Source organism: Homo sapiens, chromosome 5 (assembly GCF_000001405.40).
Source record: "Homo sapiens chromosome 5, GRCh38.p14 Primary Assembly".
Lineage (NCBI taxonomy): Eukaryota > Metazoa > Chordata > Mammalia > Primates > Hominidae > Homo > Homo sapiens.
In genome coordinates this window covers 17435166-17462805 of record NC_000005.10, presented here as the reverse complement: position 1 = coordinate 17462805, position 27640 = coordinate 17435166, and the positions used below count along the sequence as shown (strand labels likewise).

Below are 27640 nucleotides of genomic sequence, written 5' to 3'. Positions count from 1 at the left end.
TATCAATAGCCAAATCAACTAAAGAAAATAAAGGATATCAGAGTTGGAAGACCACCTTGCTGAAATAAGACATGCAGACAAGATTAGAGAAAAAAGAATGGAAAGGAATGAACGAAGCCTCAAGAAATACGGGACTTCATAAAAAGAGCAAACCTGCAATTGATTGGAGTACCGGAAGGAGACAGGGAGAAAGGAAATAAACTGGAAAACACACTTCAGCATATTATCCAGGAGAACATCCCCACCCTAGCAAGACAGGCCAACATGCAAATTCAGGAAATACAGAGAACACCATTAAGATACTCCATGAGAAGATCAACCACAAGATACATAATCATCAGATTCACCAAGGTCAAAATGAAGGAAAAACTGTTAAGGGCAGCCAGAGAGAAAGGCCAGGTCACCTACAAAGGGAGGCCCATCAGACTAACAGTGGATCTCTCAGCAGAAACCCTATAAACCAGAGGAGATTGGGGGCCAATATTTGACATTCTTAAAGAAAAGAAATTTCAGCCCAGAATTTCATATCCAGCCAAACTAAGCTTCATAAGTGAGGGAGAAATAAAATCCTTTCCAGAGAAGCAAACGTTGAGGGACTTCATTGCCACCAGGCCTGCCCTACAAGAGCTCCTGAAAGATGCACTAAATATGGAAAGGAAAAAACTGGTACCAGCCACTGCACAAACACAACAAAATATAAACACCAATGACACTATGAGGAAACTGCATCAACTAGTGTGCAAAATAACCAAATAGCATCACGAAGACAGGATTAAATTCGCACATAACAATGCTAACCTTAAATGTAAATGAGCTAAATGCTCCAATTAAAAGACACAGACTAACAAATTGGATAGAGTCGAGACCCATCAGTGCGCTGTATTCAGCGGACCCATTTCACATGCAAAGACACACATAGGCTCAAAATAAAGGGATGGAGAAAAATTACCAAGCAAATGGAAAGCAAAAAAAAAAAAAAGCACGGGTTGCAATCCTAGCCTCTGACAAAACAGACTTTAAACCAACAAAGATCAATAAAGACAAAGAAGGGCATTACATAATGGTAAAGCGAACAATTCAACAAGAAGAGCTAACTATTGTAAATATATATGCACCCCAATACAGGAGCACCCAGATTCATAAAGAAAGTTCTTAGAGACCTACAAAGATACTTAGACTCCCACACAATAATAGTGGGAGACTTTAACACCCCACTATCAGTATTAGATCAACAAGACAGAAAATTAATAAGAATATTCAGGACTTGAACTCATCTCTGGATCAAGTGGACTTAGTAGACATCTACAGAACTCTCTACCCCAAATCAACATAATATTCATTCTTCTCAGTGCCACATGGCACTTATTCTAAAATCGACCCCATAATTGTAAGTAAAACACACCTCAGCAAATGCAAAAGAACTGAAATCATAAGAAACAGTCTCTCAGACCGCAGTGCAGTCAAATTAGAACTCAGGATTAAGAAACTCACTCAAAACCACATGATTACACGGAAATTGAACAACCTGCTCCTGAATGACTCCTGGGTAAATAATGAAATTAAAGCAGAAATCAGGAAGTTCTTTGAAACCAATGAGAACAAAGAGACAATGTACTGGAATCGCTGGGACACAGCTAAAACAGTGTTAAGAGGGAAATTTATAGCACTAAATGCCCACATCAGAAAGCTAGAAAGATCTCAAATCAACACCCTCACATCACAATTAAAAGAGCTAGAGAGACAAGAGAAAACTAATCCAAAAGCTAGCAGAAGACAAGAAATAACTAAGATCAGAGAAGAATTGAAGGTGGTAGAGAAAGGAAAAACCTTCCAAAAAAACTCAATGAATTCAGGAGCTGGTTTTTTGAAAAAATTGACAAAATAGACAGACCGCTAGCTAGACTAATAAAGAAGAAGAGAGAGAAGAATCAAACAGACACAATAAAAAATGATGAAGGGGATATCACCACTGACCCCACAGAATACAAACTACCATCAGAGAGTACTATAAACACCTCTGTGCAAATAAACTAGAAAATCCAGAAGAAATGGATAAATTCCTGGACACATATACCCTCCCAAGACTAAACCAGGAAGAAGTCAAATCCCTGAATAGAAAATAGCAAGTTCTGAAATTGAGGCAGTATTTAATAGCCTACCACCAAAACAAGCCCAGGACCAGATGGATTCACAGCTGAATTCTACCAGAAATACAAAGAGGAGCTGGTACCATTCCTTCTGAAACTATTCCAAACAATTGAAAAGGAGGAACTACTCCCTAACTCATTTTATGAAGCCAGCATCATCCTGATACCAAAACCAGGAAGAGACACAACAAAAAAAGAAAACTTCAGGCCAATATCCCTGATTAACATGATCCAAAGATCTTCAATAAAATACTGGCAAACCAAATCCAGCAGCACATCAAAAAATTTATCCACCATGATCAAGTTAGCTTAATCCCTGGGATGCAAGGCTGGCTCAACATACACAAATCAATAAACATAATCCATCACATAAACAGAGCCAAGGACAAAAACCACATGATTATCTCAATAGATGCAGAAAAAGCCTTTGATAAAATTCAACATCCCTACATGTTAAAAACTCTCAATAAACTAGGTATTGATGGAACATGCCTCAAAAACAAGAGCTATTTATGACAATCCCACAGCCAGTATCATATTGAATGGGCAAAGACTGGAAGCATTCCCTTTGAAAACCAGTACAAGACAAAGATGACCTCTTTCACCACTCTTATTCAACCTAGTATTGGAAGTTCTGTCCAGGGCAGTCAGGCAAGAGAAAGAAATAAAGCGTATTCAAATAGGAAGAGAGGAAATCAAGTTGTCTCTGTTTGCAGATGACATGATTATATATTTACAAAACCCCATCATCTCAGCCCAAAAACTCCTTAAACTGATAAGCAACTTCAGCAGTCTCAAGATACAAAACCAATGTGCAAAAATCACAAGCATTCCTTTACACCAACAATATGCCCACAGAGAGCCAAATCATGAATGAACTCCCATTCGCGATTGCTACAAAGAGAATAAAATACCTAGGAATACAGCTAACAAGGGATGTGAAGGACTTCTTCAAGGAGAACTACAAACCACTGCTCAAGGAAGTAAGAGAGGACATAAACAAATGGAAAAACATTCCATCCTCATGGATAAGAAGGAACAATATCGTTAAAATGGCCATACTGCCCAAAGTAATTTATAGATTCAATGCTATTCCCATCAAACTACCATTGACATTCTTCACAGAATTAGAAAAAAAACTATTTTAAATTTCATGTGGAATCAAAGAAGACCCTGTATAGCTAAGACAATCCTAAGCAAAAAGAACAAAGCTGGAGGCATCACACTACCTGACCTCAAACTATACTACAAGGCTACAGTAACCAAAACAGCATAATACTTGTACCAAAACAGATGTATAGACCAATGGAGAAGAAAGGAGACCTCAGAAATAACACTACACATCTACAACCATCTGATGTTCGACAAACCTGACAAAAACAAGCAATGGGGAAAGGATCTCCTATTCAGGAAATGGTGCTGGGAAAACTGGCTAGCCATATGCAGAAAACGGAAACTGGACTCCTTACTTACACCTTATACAAAAATTAACTCAAGATGGATTAGAGATTTGAATGTAAAACCCCAAACCATAAAAACCCTAGAAGAAAACCTAGGCAATATCATTCAGGACATAGGCATGGGCAAAGACTTCATGACAAAAATGCCAAAAGCAATTGCAACAAAAGCCAGAATTGACAAATTGGATCTAATTAAACTAAGGAGCTTCTGCACAACAAAAGAAACTATCATCAGAGTGACAGGCAAACTACAGAATAGGAGAAAATTTTTGCAATCTACCCATCTGACAAAGGTCTAATATCCAGAATTTACAAGAAATGTAAACAAATTTACAAGAAAAAAACAACCCCATCAAAAAGTGGGCAAAGGATATGAACAGACACTTCTCAAAAGAAGACATTTATGTGGCCAAGAAACATGAAAAAAAGCTCAACATCACTGATCATCAGAGAAATGCAAACCAAAACCACAATGAGATACCATGTCACACCAGTCAGAATGGCGATTATCAAAAAGTCAGGAAACAATAGATGCTGGTGAGACTGTGGAGAAATAGGAATGCTTTTACACTGTTGGTGGGAATGTAAATTAGTTCAACCATTGTGGAAGACAGTATGGTGATTCCTCAAGGATCTACAACCAGAAATGCAATTTGACCCAGCAATCCCATTACTGGGTATATACCCAAAGGAGTATAAATCATTCTACTATAAAGTCACATGCCCATATATGTTTATTGCAGCACTATTTACAATAGCAAAGACATGGGACCACTCCAAATGCCCATCAATGATAGACTGGGTAAACAAAATGTGGTACATATACACCTTGGAATATTATGCGCCCATAAAAAATAATAAGATCATGTCCTTTGCCAGGACATGGATGAAGCTGGAAGCCATCATCCTCAGCAAACTAACATAGGAACAGAAAGCCAAACATTGCATGTTCTCACTTATGAGTGGGAGTTGAACAATGAGAACACATGGACACAGAGAAGGGAACAACACACACCAGGGCCTGCTGAGGAGTGGGGGGTGAGGAGAGGGAACTTAGAGAATGGGTCAATAGGTGCAGCAAACCACTGTGACACACATATACTTATGTAACAAACCTGCACATTCTGCACATGTATCCCATTTCTTAATAGAAGAAATAAAGAAAAATAATAAGAAATAAATAAAATAAAAAAACAAATACAAATACAAAAATTTGCTGGGTGTGGCGGTGTGTGCCTGTAATCCCAGCTACTCAGGAGGCTGAGGTGCGAGAATTGCTTGGGCCCAGGAAGTGGAGGTTGCAGTGAGCTGAGATCTTCCCAACACACTCCAGCCTGTGTAATGGACTGAGACTCTGTCTCAAAAATAAATAAATAAATAATTAAATAATTAAAAATTAAAAAAAAAAGAAAAGAGCACAGGAAATGGTATTTGGGCAATAAAGACCAAATAAGGGTCAGTTTTTTCTTTTTTTTTTTTTTTTTTTTTTTGAGATGGAGTTCTCTCTTGTTGCTCAGGCTGGGGTGCAATGGCGTGATCTCAGCTCACCGCAACCTCTGCCTCCCAGGTTCAAGTGATTCTCCTGCCTCTGTCTCCCAAGTAGCTGGGATTACAGGCATATGCCACCACACTTGGCTAATTTTGTATTTTTAGTAGATACGGGGTTTCTCCATATTGGTCAGGCTGGTCTCAAACTCCCGACATCAGGTGATCCACCCACCTCAGCCTCCCAAAGTGCTGGGATTACAGGAGTGAACCACCTCGCCCAACCAAGGGTCAGTATTTAAAGGTCAGTTGGTTGGCCAGTCCATTAGCTGGCTGGTTAAATAATACTACCAGAATCTCAGCACACTCAGATGCTCATGCCATGAATAACAGCCAGAAACTGAGGCTGAGATTACAGCTTTACATCACCCATCTCATTCTCATAGCAGAGCACACGCTCACTGGGTGACATGAAAGGCATAGTCATTTTCTATATGTAAATTCTTATTTCTTGTCAAGCTATAGTAGAATTTGCATGTCTTAAATGGGCATATAACATGAATCCATTGTGTCAACAGAGTTCATTCTTGACAGCATAGCTTTAGCATTCACTGGGTCCTAGAAATCGGGAAAAGATCCATGTATTCATGAACAATTAAGGACATTAACAACAAAGAAAATATAGATAAATATTTCTTATGAATTTCTTTTTTTTTTTTTTTTTTTTGAGGAAGAGTCTCGCTCTGTTGCTGAGGCTGAAGTACAGTGGCGCAATCTTGGCTCACTGCAGCCTATGCCTCCCAGGTTCAAGCGATTCTCCTGCTTCATCCTCCTGAGTAGCTGGGACTACAGGCCATCATGCCTAATTTTTCTATTTTTAGCAGAACGGGGTTTCATCATGTTAGGCAGGCTGGTTTCAAACTCCTGACCTCAGGTGATCCACCCACCTTGGCCTCCCAAAGTGCTAAGATTATAGGCATGACCTACCAAGCCCAGCCATGAATTTTCTTTTTTTGTTTGTTTTGAGACAGGTTCTCACTTTGTCACCCAGGCTGGAGTCCAGTGGTGTGACCACAGCTCACTGCAGCCTCAACTTTCTTGCGCTAAAGTGGTCCTCCCACCTCACCCTCCCAAGTAGGTGGGACGATAGGCGTGTACCACCACACCTGGCTAATGTTTAGTATTTTTTGTAGTGATGAGGTTTTGCCATGTTGTCTATGTTAATCTCAAACTCCTGGACTCAAGCGTTCCATCCACCTTGGCCCCCCAAAATGCTGGGATTAAAGTGTGAGCCACCACGCCCAGCCATAAATTTCTCATAGTACTTTTATTTTTAGTTTGTTTTTCCTCTTGTCTGTTCCTCTTCTCTTCCCACCAAATGGAGGAGGAGATAGGGAGTAACCCATCAGAAAAAGACTGGGCTGAATTAACATGGTTCTGGTATAAAGGATTAAATTGAAGGACATCTAAATGTATAAATACAAATTCTCCTTATAATTTAACTTGGGAAGAAGAGTCGGTGTGTAGTGGCACTTCAGTTCCAAGGCAAACATGAATCCTCTCACTTCCCTTCTGAAACCTTCCACTTCCCTTCCCTCTTCTTTATGGTTCTTTCTATGGCCAATATCATTATCTTGCCCATTTGCTATCCAAAGTCCCTCACGTTTACCAGAACAAAACAAAAATAAGCAACACTTCTCTTTCCAAATCCCTACCTTATCTCCTTTCAATAGAATTTTTATCTGATGAATAATTCACGTTTAGTTTGGCCAAGAAAAATACTACAGTACCACCTGGGTAGAATTTGTAGTTTAAAATAATTTGCTACTCAAAACAGTCTTTGCTTATAGAGGAGCATGCCTCAGTTCTAGGTTTATTCCTTGCAACCCCAACACATCCTATGCTGTGTTTTCATGCACACTAACACACACACATTGTGGTAAAATCAGAACTAAATAAAAACAGCCATTCTTTCAGGAGAATACAATAACTGGCTCATACATGCAAGTCACAAATATAACAGTAAGGAGAGCCTTTTAGACTTTATTTCTGGCAAACCACTTGAGCCAGAGCCCAGAAAAAAAATGCCATTACATTTTTTAATCTACTATTTCCTGCTAAAATTATTTCAAATAATAAATGTAAAGGAAGCCACCAAATTGATTTCTTCATCCAGTTTGGGGACTTTGACCAACTTCTATATGACCGTACAATCAATCATGACTCCCATTATGGATGTCCATCCTCACTCTTATCGTAGCTAAGTGGTTCAGTTAATTCATTCTCAAATCAATATTTTAGTTATAAACCATCACCTCAGGCTCTTATAATTTTATCCTGTTTCTCTCCATTGTCATCAATGTTTTCTGGTAAATTTCATAATTCCCCAGAGCTTGAACTTGCCTCAACAGTGGCTCCATTTTTAATTGCTAACATTATTAGAGAGATGGACTTCATTATTGAAAACTGAAACAGACAAATAATGAAAGTTATTAATTAAAGTGAATTTGCAAGATGTTAAACATATCGACATGTAGTAGACATTTAATAAATATTTGATGAATGTATAAATGAACTAATGAATAAATGAATGAGAAAATATTTCTAGGCTTTTATGTAAAGAAATGATACTTTGAGGAGGATTATGCCTTTTTCTTACCTGAGCATAACCATCCACTTTGACAATGCCCCTCTGGTTTTCCTTTATAATTATAAATATATTCCCGTTTGAATTATGCATCAGAAATTTACTTCTCTCCATTTGTTCAAACACCACACTTAGATCAAGCAGAACTTACTTTCTGCAAACCGCATGCTCAGGCCTTGTCGAAATTGCACACAGTTCTGTGCATACACAGAAAAGAGAAGATCCTGTGGCACTAAGCTTGGAATCAAGCTTCATTCTTGTACTTGACACGCCACAACTCAGCACCTGTGCTGATATCCAAATCTTTCCTTCCTGAAATCTTTGACCAGGCTTACTGATCTTTTCTTCCCAGACTATAGGTCTAGACTCTGGGTTCTCCACACCTCTCCTCCAGGTTTCTGATCCGTTGCCTGGCTTCCCCATTGCCTGCCTTAGCTGCTGACACCCATTGTGCACATTGACTGCTCCACGATCAACTAACTTCTATGAGCCAGAAATCTTGACCTAGTCCAAATTTCAAAACCAACCTCCTCATCCTATTATGTGCTTTTGCCATGTCCAATGCCACCTAGTATTTTAGCTGTTCATGAAAGGAAAACCAGGGCAGATGCACTGCCTTTATGAGTTAGTGCCTGAACTGGCCTTTCTGTTGTCTACAATAGAGTTGCATTTCTTTCAACCCCATTCCCACCCTTACTACAATTTCTCAGTAGTGAACCTTGCTTTCTCAGTAGTGAGCTTTGCTTTCCCTGAGCTTTGCTTTCTCAGTTTTCTCAGTTTGATGAACCACTTATTCAGGTCTTTCCAGTTCCCACCAGCCTCCTTTATTTCCCAATTATGACTTTGTCCTCCTTTTTGGCCAGTGATTCCTTGGACTGGTACAGTAGTGAAAACAAACAAATAAAAATAAGCAAGCAAACAAAAACAAGAAAAAGGCAAAAAATGCTTTTTTTTTCTTGGATCAAAACATCTCATACTTATAACCTGCATAGATAATACCAACTAGGCACAATTCCACAGAGATCTCCGGTGTAAAAAATGCTTTTGCTGCAAAGGAGGGGGAGTGTGATTGTCTTCAATTCATCATGTTCTGAGAGCTGGTACTGCACTTTAGTGCAAATTAGAAAATTTCCCTGTTCAGGTGGATGATTCCCAAAAAAAATACTCGCTCTGAGTGTTTGATGCATCGCAAGTTGACCCAATTCTAAACAGAGCCCAGACTACCCTGCCACACCCTGGGCTAAGTACTTCCTAATTACAGTTAAACTTTCGTGTGATATCTAGAAATCCAGAATCCAGTGGAATAACATTCTAAAGTATAATAGAAGTTATAAAATGTGTGTGTGTTCATGTAAAGCAGGCCTCTTGATTTTCCGTTTTCCTTCCTCTTAAATTCTGATTACTTATTGCTCCTTGTGGCAGACTATTTTTGGAAAAGGCACAACAATTGCTTCATATTTAATACTGAACAGGAAAGGTGAGATGTTGACCTAAAATTTTTATTTTTCTGTGTACATGTCATTACATATTTGTCTAAACCCCTAGGATATACAACTCCAAGGGAACCCTAAAGTACACTCTGGGCTTTGGGTGATAATCATGTGTCAGTATAGGCTCATGGATTGTAACAAGGGTACCACTCTGGCCAGAGGTGTTGATAATGGAGGAGGCCAGGTGAGGGGGACAGGAGGGATATACGGGAAATCTCTGTTTTTTTCTGTCAATTTTGCTATGAACCTAAAAGTGTCCTTAAAAAATAAAGTTTTTAAAAAATGTTTTAAATTATTCTCATTCTGACCATCTAATTCCTAACAAAAGACAAGCATGGCTGGAAAATGGCATGGAAGGTGCAGACAAACACACAGGAAGAAAGCGTGCTTGCTGCAAGTTTCTATGTGTCTACTTGAGAATTTCCAGATGCAAACGAAAAGAGAGAGATTGCAGACTAATCAGATGAACTCACTTTATTTTACATTTTTACAGTTGCTGTGTATTCTTCCCCTCAAAGTAAGAAATAAACCCTCATCAGTGAGAAGCGGGAGGTTGGAAGAGGAGTGATATAAAAATCCTAGATAACCGACTTCAAGTATTCCAATTTATAGTGTTTCAAACTGTTGCAAGCATTTTTCTCTTTTCAGATAGAGCAGACTGAAGACTGACTTCCATCCAAATTTTGAAAAATAAAGCTGATCCTCCAACAGGGTGGGAGAAGAGAGAGAAATTCCTGTTTTATAAATTGGAAGGTGTATGACAAATGGAACAGTTCTAACCAATGATTTTTTTTGCACTATTTTATATTTGGTATTACAATATGGAAGTGTCTTGTCCTTCACATGCAATTAGTGCCGTGGGAAAGTTGCTCTGCGATTTCTACTCACATTCCAGTCTTTGAAGGGACTCAAGACAAATGTGACCCATGTGACTCATTTTACACTGCTGAGAGAAATGGGCTGTCCAAAATCCATCCTTAGATTTTGAGAGCCATGATTATAAAAAGTCACATGAAAACAAATACTTGAGAAAGACTTCCCTAGAAAATGTATCAATAATTGAGAGAAAGAAAAACTTTAAAATCAAACACTATAATTAAAGTGAATAAAGTACACATTTAAGCATGATTCATAACTGAATTACAAAAATAAATGTCATCATAGTTTTATTGCTTAATTAATTTCCATACTCAAGTACATTAATTCCCACCTTCTTTTTGTGTGACTTTTTTTTCCTTTGAGGCAACTTAATCTTGATGTTTTTTCAAATTTATTCTATTTATCTCATTTATGTAAGCTCATGAAAATATTATTTGGTATTTCTGCTCCAACAGATATGAAAGAGAAGGAAATACCAAAAAGAGGACCCTTAAAAGGAAAACAGAAATCAAAGCAAATAACCAAGGAAAAAAAATAAAATATTAATGCTTATGATAATTAAAAAAGTAAATAAAATAAGAAACTAGCAAAAACTCCTCAGTAGAAATTATTCCCAAATTGCTCGTTATCAAGGGCTTACACACATTATCGAAATCCATTTAGTCAAAGGGTACAAGTAAGCCTTTGGGGGTGATGGAAGTGTTTTGTGTCTTGATGGTGATGGTGATCTTACAGGCATGTTAAATGGTCAATATTCATCAAACTGTACACTGGATGCAATCTATTACACATAAATTACACCTCAATAAACTTGATTACAATAAGAAAGCAAAACACTTCTTTATGGTGCTTAGATAAAAGTTAAATGCGCTGAAAATAAATGAACTATGAGTGGTAGTAAATATTCACATTTCACAAAAGCCATTGCTTTAAATGTACACTTACACTCCAATATTTCTCAGTGAGAGGTTTCAAAAATCGTGATATGTAATAAATGTGAGGTATTATAGGCACCATATTCATTTGCAATCACAAGGACAAGCAGATGTAGTAGTTTTTGACTTTTTGTTATTTCATCTATGTATCAGTCTGTTTCACACTGTTGATGAAGACATACCCGAGACTGGGAAGAAAAAGAGGTTTAATTGGACTAACAGTTCCACATGGCTGGGGAGGCCTCAGAATCATGGCAGGAGGCGAAAAACACATCTTACATGGTGGCAGCAAGAGAAAAATGAGGAAGAAACAAAAGCAGAAAACCCTCATAAACCCGTCAGATCTCGTGAGACGTATTCACTGTCACAAGAATAGCACAGGAAAGACCAGTCCCCATGATCCATTTACCTCCCCCTAAGTCCCTCCTACAACACTTGGGAATTCTGGAAGCTACAATTCAAGTTGAGATTTCGGTGGGGACACAGCCAAACCATGTCAATCTACAACTTAGAGTTCCATCCTCTCAATGCTGGAAAAGTTAGAATGTTTCCTATTTTATGGTAGAATAGAGTCTACGGATTGGAAGATAAGACACTAAAGTGCATTAACCATCAAAAACTGCGAAGGAGGCCGGGCACCATGGCTCACGCCTGTAATCCCAGCACTTTGGGAGGCCGAGGCGGGTGGATCACGAGGTCAGGAGATCGAGACCATCCTGGCTAACACAGTGAAACCCCGTCTCTACTAAAAATACAAAAAATTAGCCGGGCGTGGTCACACACGCCTGTAGTCCCAGCTACTCGAGAGGCTGAGGCAGGAGAATAGCTTGAACCCAGGAGGCAGAGGTTGCAGTGAGCTGAGATCACACCACTGCACTCCAGCCTGGGCGACAGAGCGATACTCCATCTCAAAAAACAAAACGAAACAAAACAAACAAACAAAAACAAAAACCGCCAAGGGTCTGAGAGTTCACCCTTCTTGCAAACTAACAAGTTAGCCTGACAAAAGTTTCATGAATGCTGGTAGAAGACACTAGACTCCTGGGTCACAGACAAAGAATAGTTTGGTACTCACGACAATAGCAGTAGCAAAAGTATTAGCATTTTTTGTACCAGTTAACCAGGCCTCCATTTTTGCAATGTGATGCAAAGAGAACCAGATGGTACCTACATATTCAGTGATTGTGCTATAGAAGAGGAATATTGAATTTAGGGAATCTGAATCCTTTATAATGGGCAGTGAGCATGCCTGGCCTTTGCTCCAGAGAGAGACACTGGCTCTATGTTCCAAGACTGTTCACAACACAAATGTCCCTGAAAAGATAGTTCAGAATGAAGGACAGTTAGTCGCTCACTCACAAGAGATACAGAAATACAAAAAGTCTGTGGAGAATTGGTCTCCAACAATAACAATTCAATCATTAGAGAAAGTACTTCAGGGTACCAAGAATTCTTCAAAGAAAATGTTGGCTAATTTATTAGAAACCTCTGCTTTTCCAGGTCCAAGTTTTACATTAATACATGTATATAAAAGTGTATACATTTTCTCAATTTGAGTCAGAATACCAAAAACTACACAACAACATTTGTATTAATTAACAGAAAACTGACGTGGCAAGGATTAGCACACTACATGCATGTGCTGGACCTCCTTGTAAATCACCTCATGTAATCAACTGTTACCATCTATTTCAAATGATGAGTTCTTGTCCATGAAATTTATTTCTTATTTATCAAGGTAACAGGAGTAGAAATGAATCAGTCTTCAAACCAGCTGCTCATAATCACAAAGTACATTTTATTAACGTGCTAGAAGAACCAATATTGGAAAGTTTTATTTGGCTTCCAACTTGACCCTACTTAGAAATAAGGTGACAGTATATTCCACTTCAAAAAATATATATTCCCCATCAGCTCAATAGCCCAAGCCAAAATATACATCATCCTAGATTCCACTCTCCTTGTTACTCTTCTCACATGTGGTCAGTTGCCCACCTCTGCCATCTTTGTTTAATAAATAGTTATCATATCTGCTTCTGAGGAAGACCGTGCCTTTTATTTGTATCAACTGCACCTCCCATTATGCTTTTGTGTAGTAAGCACACAATAAAGGTTTGTGAAATGAATAGATCTACAGCTTTATCAATGTCAGAAAACAATGCACATGGGAATATAAACTGGTACATCCATTATGGAAACCCATATGGAGATTCTTCAAAAAAATTTGAAAAGAAGTACCATATGATCCACCAATCTCATCTCTGAGCATACCGCATATGTCCAATGGAAATGAAATCCATGTGTCAAAGAGATATCTGCACTCCCATGTTCATTGCAGCATTATTCATAATAGCCAAAAGATGGAATCAGCCTAAATGTCCAACAATGGAGGGATGGATAAAGGAAATGTGATATATATGCACAATGGAATACTATTCAGCCTTAAAAAAGAAACTCTGTAATCTGTGAAACATGGGTGAACTTGGAGGACATTATGTTAAGTGAAATAAGCCAGGCACAGAAAGACAAATATCACACGTGGAATCTAACGAAGTTGAACTCTCAGAAGCAGAAAGTAGAATGGCGGTTACAAGGAACTGGTGGGGAGAGAGGTGGAGGTTGGAGAGATGTTTGTCAAAGTATACAAAATTTCAACTGGACAGGAGTAGTCAGTCCAAGAGTTCTATTGTGCAATATGGTGACTACAGTTAATAACAATGTACAGTATTGTATTCTGGAAAATTTCTAAGAGAGTAGATTTTAAGTGTCCTCACCACAAAAATCATAAATATGCATATGAAAATTAGCTACATTTAGCCATTCCAAATATATGCATATTTTAAAATATTGCATTGTACACAATAAATGTATACAATTTTTGTTTAATTTTTTCAAATAAGCTTTTTTAAACAGAAAACACCATTAAAAATGAAAACGAAATTGTAAAACCACAGGGCACAAAGAGAGACATGGAAAAAATTGATTTTTCCTGGCAAACATGGGTTTTATCTTTCTAACAATTATGGATATTTTCACATAATGGATAATACAGGCATACATTTTGTGTACTGGTAAACACAAACCCCATTCAAAATGGTGAAATTTTTTCCTGCAGCTCCTGTTAGCAATCTGGTTGCACTTATCTGTTAAACATTAGTTTCCTAGAGAAGAAGATACTATCATTTCAAACTGCAGCAAACAAAATATTCTACAGGACATATAAATCCTGTATAAAACCTGAACTTTGAGCTATGAAATTCTGGTGGCTTTCTCAACCCAGTCAGTTTGACACTGTGAAATCTAAGACTATACCCGAAATGCTCATTCATTTTGAGGTATGTGTGTTTATTTAGGGCTATTTTGCTTTTAACCAAGTGGTTATCCTCAAAATATACAGCTTCTGTCGGGGAGGATAAAAGGAGGAAAATCAAAGTTTAATCTCCAGTTCTCATGGGAGAAATCTGAAGAGCAGTTGTCCTCCTTTAAAAAAAGTTAATAAAAAATGTTTTCATTAAAAGATAAGATCGTGGCATGTTAAGACAATTTAACCATTTTAATCTAATGCAATAATTTCCTCTAAAATAGATACTGTGTTTGCTATCCAGTGGGCAGTGGTTTGGGAGAGTATTTCTGAAAGATCCTTTGGCTAGTAGTTGCCTAGGACAGAATTTACCTCGGGAACAATACTCACACACAGTGACCATTCCCACTATTCTTTTGACTACACAGCTTACACTAAGGTAATAAAAAGACCAGCTATGTTTTCAGGATGCAGTCAAGACCCCATCCAAAAATAAAATAAAACTTACATTTTAAATTAACTTAAATGCCTATATTTTATTCAATTTGCTTCTTCAGTGCTAATGTTCATCTGTCAAATAAAAACTGTACAATGTTTACAGTACAAATAAGAAGAAAATGAAGCACAATGATCAGGAAGCATCTTCAGACAAGTTACATTCATAACTCCAACCATAGCATAAAATGTTTGTAAATTAATTTTTCAGGTTTTGATGCACTTTTCCAACATATATGTCTAATTTTTGTATTTTAAATCACATGAGCACTACAGAAACAAATATAAATAAATAAAATCATCTTTCAGCCTACCTACCCTGACTTCATACCCCCAAACACTTTTTTCTACACATTTGCATAGAAAATACTAGAATGTTTGAGTGTCTATTATATAGAGTATCATTTATTCAACAGAAAGAGCTACCAAGTGAAATGGTACACATTAGAAGAGAGTGATTTTGCAATTGCTGGATCACTTGACTGTGACTTGAGAGGAGGTTTCTAGAAGAAATTCAAAGTTTAGATGAATGCCTGAGGGTAGTCTCTTCTTACCTTAATCTACATGTTTCTAACCCATCATTATCTCAAAGTTATCACACACACACACACACACACACACACACACACCACAGTTTCTCGACTTCACTGAAACCCACTGTCCCCTAAGGATACTGCTTCTCCTCTCAAGCAGGGGCTGGGAGATATTTTCCATCAAACTCCAAATATCTCAGTATCAGAACCAAGGCAACGTCCTCCTGACTACCCAATGCCACTTGCAGACGAATGACTGCACTCTCTTTTGTAAGTTGCTCCTTTGAGTAGTTGACAATAAGAGCTTCTTCTCCCTCTAGTCCTCACTTAATCATTTGGTCACTCCTTAAAGAATTTAGCACTCAACTCATAGTCTCCTTTTCACCCAACCCTACCATCATGCTAAGCAGATTTAACATCACTTGGATGCACCATCAACACCTTGCCCAGCAGTTCCTTACCCTGATACCCACTGATAGTTGTCATCATTCACCTCAAGCACCAACTTCCACAGTCACACCATGAATTTGGTTAACATTGGAAACTGCACTTCAGATAATTCTGCAATAATATAAATACCTTCACAAACACCACCACCACCATCTTCAACTTCCCTTTCCAATGGCCTTGTTTTCGTCCCCTCATACAACACTTCTACCTATCAAGAACTGCAATCCAGTGACACTTCAACTTTCTCTACATTCATCAGCCTCCTCAGCTCTCCACATCTCTCCATCAGTACAATGTCACCTCCCTCCCCCGTGTCCACCTCCAACTCCTGGCTTCGTATTTTATCTGGCCTATTCCTATTCATCCTTACTCGTACCGCTTTCTTAGAAAGGGGCTATCCAGACTTCTAAGCTAGATGATGTTCTTCTGTTAAGCCACCTTGTAAGTTCTTTGTGCTTTTCTTAGCTATTATTCAAGCACAACAATGATCATATTGCAATTAATGTCATTGTGGATTTGAACATGGAAGGTCTATTTTATCCTAGATTGTAAATTGGTTAAGAGCAGAGATCATGACTGTTTTACTCTCAATTACATATGTCAACTAACACCATGCCTGGCACATAGAAGGCACTCTAGGAATATATGTGGAGTCACACACACACATACACATACTTATGCATACACACTCATACACTTACCCATGAAGATTTCTTCCAGTAAATGGGTATCTGTATTATGCAAGCAACATGAAATCAGAAAGAACATTTTGGGGTTTTTGCTGCCTAACACCAAAACTAATTGCAGCCACTCTTCAAAAAAATGCAATAACTTTATAAACAGCCACATCCTGATTCTTACGGTTGAAAGCTCTCCATTCTCTGCTGAATATTCATCCGTTGAGAGGGACACTAGCCTAGAAGCTCAGCACTTTCTGAAAAGAGAAGCAGCAGGAATAGAAGATGTGTGGAGAGGAAAGAAAGTCAAAGGCAGGCTCCTGCAATGCAAAGGTGCCAGGAACAACGGTGCAATCCCAGGCTGTGTAACACAGGATGGAGGAGGGAGATCTCACTTTTATTGTAAATAGCAGAATTCTTTAAAGGTAGCTACATTAGCAATCAGATCTCATAGATGCTGGAAACACAAACACCTCCTTTCTCATTAAGGGTAGGGGGATCCAGCATAATTTCTCTGGACCAGGAAGATGGAGGAGTCTTACTTCTCTTGCCTTCCAACTGCATCCCCCACTCAATCCTAGATTGCACAAGGAAGTCAACACTACCTCCCCCAACAAGCTCCAAATCCCTCTCTTCACAGCATTGTCAATTGAATCTCTTCATCCAATCTTGGAAACAGTCTGGAAAAAGAAGCAGAGGAGAGAAGAAAGGGGAAAAGTTCAAAAGTACTTTAAACTCTGCCAAAAAAAATCAATTAGTACCAATATACACAGAGAAATGAATGACAGAAGTCATCGCAGCAAGGTATTTCCTCATGACTCCTTCAACTGGCCAGGGCCAAACCAAGGTGTGCAAATAATCTGAGCAACTGTACACTTTGGCACACCTTTGCTATGTATACATACCTTCAATATGTATTTACAGAAGCTGGAAATTGCACAGGGCAGGACCAGGAAAGAACGGGCAGAAATGTTCAACTGCATGGCCAATGTCCTGAGCTTTAGCCCCAGAGTTGTGTGTCCTACTCTGAAGCCCTACAAGTCATAGGACCCATTCACCCCAGAGCCAGTGCAGCCTATTTCTTTGAGATCTCAGTCCCATCTCTCTAATGGTATCAAAGAACCCTCCATTTACATTTAGTGCTCTCTTTGAAAGGAGCCATGATAGACTTTAATCCAAATTTACAAAAAGAAAAACTGGATTCCAAAGAACGATATAATTAGCATAAATACTGGGACTACACACTGCCACATAATAAAACAGAAAGCATCAAAATATATAATTGTGTATAGCACCTATACACTAGCATAGGTCAAACAGCTGAATGATTAAAGGAGTTTTGTTTTGTTTTGTTTTAATCAGTCAACTAGGAACTTCTTAATGCAGTCACTTTGGCATGATACAAACAAAATCTTTCAAACTACAACACATCTTAGAAACAGCAAATACTACTGCTGTTCACGTAGCAAGGAAGGTTACAAGTAAATCTCCCAATATCTCAGGTGTAAAGAAGTGTTCTAACAAGGTCCATTTGTATTAAATCAAATCACCAGACTAAGGCATCTATTTTGCACCACTTACTCAGAGCAACAGACAAAAAGACAGGCCTTTGGGTTTATTTATATAAACATTCTTCCACAGGTAGTCACAGAGGAGGAAGGAGTACAATGTAATTTGATGGTGGATGAATTTGCACAAAAAGGAGACTAAAAAAGAAAGATTATTGTGACCCAACACTCACTCTTTACTTTTTAAAGTTGTGGGGAAAAGAAATGGCAAAGCTTTCTATTTCTGTAAGCTTTTGTTGTAAAGAATTGAATAAAAAATAGCAATACCTAATCATCTCTAAATTACTTCAACTAAAAACACCACTAAAGACCTTATAATCTTTTTTTAAAAAATTCATTCTCATAATTTCTTCCTTGGCCCTGAAAACGATGGTTTAAAAATAGCTTGATTTGCATCTTATTCTTTTACTGCCTTTCTACAAATACATTTTGAAATGCTTGCTTACGGAAAAGCTGTTGCCTGCTTAGCTTTCATCATGTATGAGATCACACTATTTCGCTCACCTGGAACTGTCGTGTTCTCTGTTCCCAGCAACGGTCCGATAAGGAGCATCCTTGCTAAATGATATGTTTAAAGTATGTATAGCTACGTGTATTTTCAAATGCATAACCAATTTCTTAAAAGAGATGGTAACTCATGCCAGAAGCAAGGAAAAGATTGAAAGGCAGGCCTGGAAACAGAGCTGGCCCAGTAGCAGCTCCAAATATGTCAAAATGCTAGTGTTATTTAAGACACCGATACAATATCCCTGATGATGAAACAGGAAACGTTCCCTTGCGCCACCCGCAGGGTGTGCAACAGGAGGAGTGGCTCGCTTCTTCCGTGCCCCACTGCTCAAACCTCTAGGGGAGCATGCGGACGGCTGGGTTGTGGGGCTCCAACCCAAGAGCAGTGTCTAGGGGTGAATGTTTACAGCTGAAGCCCCAGTGGGCACACGTGTGTTACAGGGTGCTCTTTTAGTTTTGCCATCTGTAGGCGACTTGTGTTAGTCAGCTCAATTAGACCCCCTGGCTTATCTCAAGGACAGAGGACTTTCTGTATCCCAGGGTCCTTGCCTTGGTGTACCGGAAGAATCAGATCACACGTGGGCTTGGAGAATGAGTTCAAGGTTTTATTGAGAGGAAGTAGCTGTGAGCAGACAGGGGAGACAGAAGGGAGATGGAGTGGGAAGGTGTAGTTTCCTGGAGTCAGGCCACCTAGCGGCCTGGCTCTCCTCCAACCACGCAGCCAAACTCCATGTCCTTCCGCCAGTCGATGGCCTGCCAGGGTCTGCCTGTCGGCGTGCTCTTGTTGACGTCCTCTGGACGTCCAGCCGCTTGTGTGAGTGCCCACTAGTGTTTCGGGGTTTTTATAGGCACAGGATGGGGGCGTGGTGGGCCAGGGTGGTCTTGGGAAATGCAACATTTGGGCGCAAAGGCAGGAGTGCCTGCCCTTACCTAGGTCTGTGGGCACAGGCACCGGGGTGAAGCCCTCGCCAGAGACCTGCTTTCTCCTCCCAGCACTTCCCTGCCCCCCTCCCTTATCAATAACATCTGCATTTGTAGCTGGGTAACCAGGGTATTCTTCATACAGCTGCAAGTATCTGGCTAATATATTGATAGGGTTTGGATCTGTGTCCAGGCCCAAATCTCACGTTGAATTGTAATCCCAGTGTTGGGGGTAGGGCCTGGTGAGAGGTGATTGGATCATGGAGGAGGATTTCTCATGAATGGTTTAGGACCATCCCTTTGGTGCTGACGGCAAGACAGTGAGTGAATTCTCAAGAGAGAGTTCTGGTTGTTTAAGAGTGTGTGGCACCTTGCTCGCTCTCTCTTTCTTGCTCCTGCTTCAGTCACATGAGGTGCCTGCTCTCATTTCACCTTCCACCATGAGTCAAAGTTCCCTGAAGCCTCCACAGAAGTAGACCCAATATGTTTCCTGTACAGCCTGCAGAACCGTGAGCCAATTAAAGCTCCTTTCTTATAAATTACACAGTCTCAGGTATTTCTTTATAGCAATGCCAGAACAGCCTAATACATACATTATGTCTTCAAGTGGGGGTGAAGACATGCTGAACATTTACTTCTTGAAATATCCACTATATGATAGTCAGGGTGTTGTATGTTTAAAGCATGTATGTGTATAGCTTACGTTATTAAAAATTATTGTTTTAGAATAGAAAAAGGAAGAGTGATAAAATATTAGGCTGAACCATATGAAATTGCTGATATTTTATAACTTTTAGTCAACAAAATTCTCAAATGAGAGCTTTGGGTCCAATAAGTTTGCTTTGCCCCAGGCAACTTGCCCCACTAGTGTAATTCGGGGTCAAGCCATGTGCAAGACTATCAGACAGTTTGCACATCCAAGCATGACCACTCCATGCTCTATTATGCTAAGACAGTCTCTGTAACTTTTCTGCTTTGAGTTAAGTTACATAAGTCCTCTTTCTGTTACCCAACATTTGTGGGTGCCAGGTCCCTGAAAGGAAGCTATAGGAGCAGGTAAAAATTCTTTCCATATTTATTTGTGTGGAATTTTTACTTTTTGACTGTATACCAGATGTAAGGAAGTGTTCTTGCTCTAGGGCCATCTGTCATTGCAGAGGTAGGATAGATTCACATAATGATAGAGTAGAAAAAAATAAGTAAAGTGACCCAGGTTTAAATCCTGTCACCTGCTGTTATTGGTTGTGTTTCACTTCTTGACCTACAGAATCCTTGTCTATAAAACTGAACTGGGGACCGTGCCTAGTCATGTAAGTTCATTGTAAAATTCAAACAAAACAAAGTCTGTCAAGGATTTTGAAATGCCAAGATACAACCATGTGATCAGGGAAATTTACATAAAGAACAGAGTTGGGATCATGATATTAGAAAAACCAGAGAGCGATCGGACACAATGGTTCACACCTATAATCCCAGCACTTTGGGAGGCCAAGGCAGGTGGATTGCTTGAGTCCAGGAATTCAAGACCAGCCTGGGCAACAAAGCAAGACCTTATCTTTACAAAAAAAAAATATTAAAAAAAAAAAAAACAGACAGAAAACTAGAGTGGGCCAAAGTTAAGGGCTCTAGAAGTTCAATTCCAAAAGGAATATTTATTCAGAACGCATCAAAGGGTCTACTGGAATTGGAAACACAGTCATCATTCTTAAGGATAAGAACAGCCAATTCCTTAGATGCAGGTCTTCTGAGTCAGTGGACTCCACACTCCTGGGCTTGCATCCAGATTATCATCGACTTCTGTACTGATGCTTGCAGGGGAGGCTCCGTGGACTCCCTGTATATCTGGACACACAGAAAAAAAGGACAGTCAAGTTTTTCATGTTGGACAGTAAGAATTTAATTTGTAATCTCTATTTGTCACATATGTCCATACTTTTCTTTGTGATAGTCTCATCTGAAGCTTCTGGAAAAATAGGGGAAGATCTTATGGACTGTTAGGTTGGAAGAACATAGCTGCCCAAGGCTTCTTAAAAGTTGACCCTAAGGGGACTTGTGGTTATAAATAGAATGCCGTTAGTTGCAGGAGAATACAATCCTGTTAGACTAACTAAAAACGACAAATTAATTGCAAAAAAAATCCATATAAAGAGATCAGTGAATTATGGAAACAAAAAGAATTAAAAGAACAAAAATTCCAGAGAGCAGAGTGTTTTGCCAAGATTAGCTACCTTTCACAGGCTATTTTCTTTCTTGGGATGTTTGCTGATTTGAAACACAGATCAGATCTGGTTCATGCAGAAGCACTGTAGGAAGGAAAGAGAAGCCAGCAAAGCTTGTGGCATTCATAGAAGCAACCACAACAATTTGGAAACAAAAGTATCCCCAAATGCCTTGCCAATTTTCCTCATAGTACCCTTGCTAAATTGAGGCTGAGTAAAAGGTTAGGAGTTTCTGCAAAGTAAGTTAAAATCTTCAGAAGTCCCATAATAATTGGGAGGAAAAGTTCCACTGGAGGAAAGGAGTCTGCTCAGAAGGTGGCTGGTCTCCCCAAGATTCTCATCAAATTTGGATGGAGCATACGGCAGGATACTACACAGCCCGAAACTTCCACTTTCTTTCAGAGCTGTCAATCAACAGTGTGGAAGAGACAGGCCTGAGGAATAAAAACATAGCTAGAAGTGGAGAGGATTTTACTAAAATGTCAACCCAGTCTTGACCTAGTTCAGCCTCTTGGATTGGGGTGATCACCTCCTCACCTTATCTGCCCCACAGAGAAAGCACAGATTCCTATCTGGTCGAAGTAGCATCATACAGAGCTTTGACATGTGCTTTGTCCACAATATCTGGCATACAGTCACATATTACTAACATAAAAAGAGGCAAGAGATTGTGATCAATTACCAGGTGAAACATACAAACAACATAAGCAGATGCAAAGAAAGAAAATGATATTTTATTTAGCATCTTAAAATTACATTTTGATACAATGATCAATATAGTAAAGAGATTGAAAGACAATATGAATGAAAGTGATGAAAAGATGTGGGGTTCAATCATTGAATCAAAATCTGTAAAAAGTAATTGCTCTAAGACTGAAAAATACAATACTTGAAATGAAGACCTCACCAGATGAGCTGAACAGTATAGCTGAAGATTGGCTCAGTGATCCCAAAGACAGATCAACATGAAGTATTTGACTAGAGCACAGAGAACACAAAAGAATACACATATCAGTCACATGCAAATCATAGTGCAAACCCCTTTATTCTTATTATTGGAGTTACTAAAGAAAAAAGAAAGAATAGGGAGAGACAAATATGTAAAAAAAACATAGTCAAGAATTTCCCAAAACTCTTAAAGCTAGCAATCTTTACATTCAAGAATCTCAGCCAACTCAGGATAGCTAGGCATTTTACAACTAAACTGCTGAAGATGAAAGACTTGCTGTTTCTAATAGGCTAGATGATCAATGTGCCACAGTCCTTATTTTAAACCTAAATAAAATATTTCACAAATTATTTGAATATCGCTAGTTTAAAAAGGAAATTCATTTCAACAAAGTCAAAACAAGGAACAGATGAAAGACGGATAAATTGCGTTTATCATTTGAAGGTTGTAGCTGCTTTTCAAAACAAATAGAAACCATTTGTTTCTAATTGTCTCATAACTGAGATAAATAAAACCAATTTTAAGGAGAAACTTTATGCCTGACAAGTATGAGTTAATTGGAACATTGAGAAAATAATTCAAAAGAAATGGAGCTTAGAACTTTACATCTTAACTCTTACTTTGTTTTGTTTTGTTGTTTTTGAGATGAAGTTTCGCTTTTGTTGTCCAGGCTAGAGTACAATGGCACCATCTTGGCTCACTGAAACCTCTGCCTCCTGGGTTCAAGCTTCAGCCCCTGAGTAGCTGGGATTACAGGCATGTGCCACCATGCCCAGCCAATTTTTGTATTTTTACTAGAGACGGGGTTTCACCACGTTGGTCAGGCTGGTCTCGAAATCCTGACCTCAGGTGATCCACCCGCCTTGGCCTCCCAAAGTGCTGAGATTACAGGCGTGAGCCACTGCACCTGGCCTTAACTCTTACTTTGTATGTTGAAAGTAAGATATACACTGTACGACATACTTTGTATGTTGAAAGTAAGATATACACTTTGTATGCTGAAAGTAAGATATACACTTTGTATGTTGAAAGTAAGATATACACTGTAGAAAGCTTGACTGAGATTGCTCACATACCAGAATAATAGAGAATCAGGTATAATTGTGGGTAGAATCAGAAGTAAGAAAATAATATTTACTGAGCCCTTAATAGTGCCAGGCATTAGACTACATTTCTTACAGAGAGCATTGCAGATATGAAATGAACTTCACATAGATCACACATGGATGTGGAAATGAACTCATTCATTAGCCTGAATGCCCGTAAGGTAAATCATTTTAGACAGTACAATATCTTCAGCTCCATCTCAGTTCTTTTTTCATTCCATTGAGAAATAAACATTCATTCTAGCTGCCAGCTTCTGGATTTGTCTGAAGTGTTGCAGATCCAAGTGGAATCAGCCTGGATTCCCATCGATTTCTTTCTTCAGGAACTGAGCTCGTGTTCCTCGTCTTCTTCCTCCTCTCAGACACTAGCAAGCCCTCTCGCTCTTCACTTGCACCATCCCCTCCCCACCCACAAGCCTGACTATGAAGTGGGATGTCACCCTACTTTTGCCTCCCCTTCCAGCACATATATTCATTTCATCTTAAACTGTTTCCGCTAATCACTTTGGGAAACAGAGATAATTAAAATCATAAGCATGAAGGGAAAAAAAATGAAATCATAAACATGAAGGGATTCAAAAACTCATCATTTGCTTGGAGCCATGCTTCCTGGAGCACTCTTTATTCTACATCTCAAATTATAACTAAGCACAGTTGGGATTCTGCCCCTCTTCCCCCACCCGTCTCAGCTAATTTATTTCTGGGTCCTATTCATTGATTGAATTAAATCCTACTGATGTCATGAAAACATCCAATATTTCCCTGCTCCAAGTGCTCAACTCACAACCCTGAGGCCCACCAGAAGAGGTCTCTGCTGACTCTACCAGCTATTTCCTCCGTAAGGCGGAAATCTCCAAGGTAAACAATCCACCAGCACCTGGTACCTCTCCTTACCCTGCCTCCTTGGAAGAAAGGGAAAAGAGAATTTAGCAGAAAAAAATTCCTCAAACGTAACAAAGTATCCCAGCCCCTTTGGACAGACCTATGTACCCATCTGTCATAAGTAAACCCATACAACAAGAATGTTGCCATGTCTTTAAAAATTCCTGAGGTCCAGCTCGGCGCAGTGGCTCAAGCCTATAATCCCAGCACTTTGGGAGGCTGAGGTGGGTGGATCACGAGGTCAGGAGATCGAGATCATCCTGGCCAACAAGGTGAAATCCCATCTCTACTAAAAATACAAAAATTAGCTGGATGTGGGGGAGCATGCCTGTAATCCCAGCTACTCAGGAGGCTGAGGCAGGAGAATCGCTTGTACCCGGGAGGCGGATGTTGCAGTGAGCCGAGATCAGGCCACTGAACTCCAGCCTGGCAACAGAACTACACTCCGTCTCAAAAATAAAAATAAAAATAAACAAAAATTCCTGAGTTCCTGGCTTTCAAACCCTCAATGTGTCTCCCCTATTCACTCAATTGAGTCATTATCTTTCCAAGCTAGACACATAGGAGCTATCTTTTCCTCCTTCCTTGTCCTTTCCATTTGATCTATGGTCATCACTTATTCCACTATTTATTTTATTGCCCCCTTTTATCCTCACTCTTTTTCTCTTGTATGTTGAATGTATCTGCTAGTTATATGTTAGTCACCCTTGAATTATCTTGAAAGAAACTGACAACAGCTGATGTTTCAAAGATTGACTTTCTATACCTGTTCTGTACTTTCATTTTAGTGATTATTTATTCTATTGTTTTAGCTTAATACTGTTGTTTTCGTACCTTAAATGACCTTGTTTCCCACAAAGCAGAGGGGTTTTTTTTTCGCATTTCCTATTTAACACTTTATAAACACAATAACCTAGGAAACAGGGTTACTTTATATCTACCTTCCGCTCCTCCAGCTTTGATTCCTGGCACACAGCATGAAAAGCAAGCAGAGGAACACAGCAGTTAGCAACTTTCACCACTTTTCATCTGTTCTTCCCCATTATTGAATCCATCTAAGGAAGACATCACTGTGACTGCCGGGAGATGTCAGGCCTCAGAAAGGAAGTTGAAAATTATGTAAGAAATGAGCCCAGTGACCTCCATTTCCTTGCCTCCTTGGTAAATAATTTGTGGTTTTCCGAAACTGGAGGCATATTTTAGAGTTCAAGCAAGGTTGGCAGTAAATTGTCCCAAGGATCATAAAAATGTGCACACAGGGTTTTGCAGACACCAAATCAAATAACTAAAGTGAAGTGAAACCAAAACAGAGCAGATGCGTGTATGCACAGGCATATCCCAGTCCCAGAACTGCAGACAGAGTTGTCTATCTTTTACTGTGTAACATAAATTCTAGAATATTAAACAGTTCAGTGGTAGGGAGGTTCAAGACACTCTTCCTTTAACCTCCAAAATATTTCTAACATCCAGTTTTGACTGTTTTTGTAAAAGAGGTAGCTCATGGGTTACAACTTCAAACTTCGGAACAATTCAGGGCTTAGCAAAGCCGTTGTCCACTGTTCTCATCTTCCGCATGTACTAAGAGAGGTTGGGAAGGGAAGTCAGAGCTGTTAGTAAAGAAACTATGAGGACAGAGGTGGGGCAAGCAAAGACACATGCTCTGGTGTTGGAAAAAAAGAAAAACAAACTTGAGGATCCTAGCAGGCTACAGATCATAGGGATTAAGAAGAAACTGGCTCAAACTTAAATACTAAGTGTTCACTTCTATTTCCCTTCTGAATAAAACGTTAAGTGATTGTGCCAATACCCTCCAGCAGTTAGCAGAACAGTCCCAACTAGAATACAGAACTCGAGACAGTAAGTTCACGGCTCAGTGGACATATACCCAGATCGCAAACCCTTACAAATAGGAATTTCTACATCCTCCCAATCCCTCCTGTGTTTTTCTCAAGGCACCTACCGGAAAGATCCTCTTCAAGAGAAACCAGGTCATAAGGCTTGTTCACTTCTCAGCTGCAACCATGCAATGGATCTTGAAATCACACAGAGGGAGAACCAGAGCCTCACAATGGCCTCCAGGGTGTCCACCATCTGCTGAGCTTACACCTCCACACGTTCTGCCACCCTCACCTCTCAGGCCCCTCCAGCTGAACCCCTTTTTCACTCTGTCCCAACCAGATGGGGCTCATCGCCACCTCTGTGTCTTTGCACTTTCTACTTCTCCCCCAGAGATCTTCTCACCCTGTTCTCTCTTCTCCCATAAGTCTCTGCTCAGACATTACCTTTTCAGGGAGGCCTCTCTGACCATATCATCTAAATGGGTAAATGACAACTCTTGAACACTCTTGTCCCCCACCTGGCTCTGCTTTTGCATATGGTACTTACCCCCTTCTTTTTTTTTTTTCTTTGAGATGGAGTCTCGTTCTGTCACCCAGCCTGGAATGCAGTGGAGCGATCTCACCTCCCTGCAGCTTTCACCTCCTGATTTCAAGCGATTCTCATGCCTCAGCCTCCCAAGCAGCTGAGATTACAGGCATGTACCACCACAACTGGCTAATTTTTGTATTTTTAGTAGAGACGAGGTTTCACCATGTTGGCCAGGCTGGCCTTGAACTCCTGACCTCAAGTAATCCCTCCACTTCAGCTTCCCAAAGTGTTGGAATTACAGGCATGAGCCTCTATGCCCAGCCCTCACCTTCTTATATTCTGTATATTTGTTTTCTCCCTCACCAGAGTGTGAGCTCTGTGAAGCCAAGAGCTTTCCTCCCTTTTCTTCACTGCTGAATCCCAGCATAAAAAATTATGTCTTGTACACAGTAGGATTCAACAAGGAGATCTATGTGTTATTTATATGTTTTTATATATCTCATTTACATATATGTTGTTTACATATATATCTTACTAACATATATCTCATATAGGTATATACACAAATGGTCCCTAACTTATGATGGTTTCAACTTTACAATGGTGTGAAAGTGAAACACAT

The 27640-nt window shown here is 39.4% G+C and overlaps 2 long non-coding RNA genes across 5 annotated transcripts in view; both read right to left on the bottom strand.

Annotated features, from left to right (window-relative positions):
• LINC02218 (long intergenic non-protein coding RNA 2218) overlaps window positions 1-18796 on the bottom strand; it is a 39937-nt gene extending 21141 nt beyond the window's left edge. The window contains exons 1-2 of one of the 2 annotated variants that reach the window (NR_134271.1): window positions 18572-18796; window positions 16876-17179 (exon numbers count right to left, since the gene is read on the bottom strand). This is a non-coding gene — a long non-coding RNA (long intergenic non-protein coding RNA 2218). Of the gene's footprint in view, window positions 1-16875; window positions 17180-18571 lie in introns of those variants that run through there. The other variant, NR_134270.1, reaches the window with a different exon arrangement.
• Window positions 18797-21111: 2315 nt separating this feature from the next.
• The window catches only part of LINC02217 (long intergenic non-protein coding RNA 2217), a 37676-nt gene continuing 31147 nt past the window's right edge, over window positions 21112-27640 (bottom strand). For 2 of the 3 annotated variants that reach the window (NR_134275.1, NR_134274.1), the window contains exon 2: window positions 21112-21337. This is a non-coding gene — a long non-coding RNA (long intergenic non-protein coding RNA 2217). Of the gene's footprint in view, window positions 21338-25592; window positions 26070-27640 lie in introns of those variants that run through there. The other variant, NR_134273.1, reaches the window with a different exon arrangement.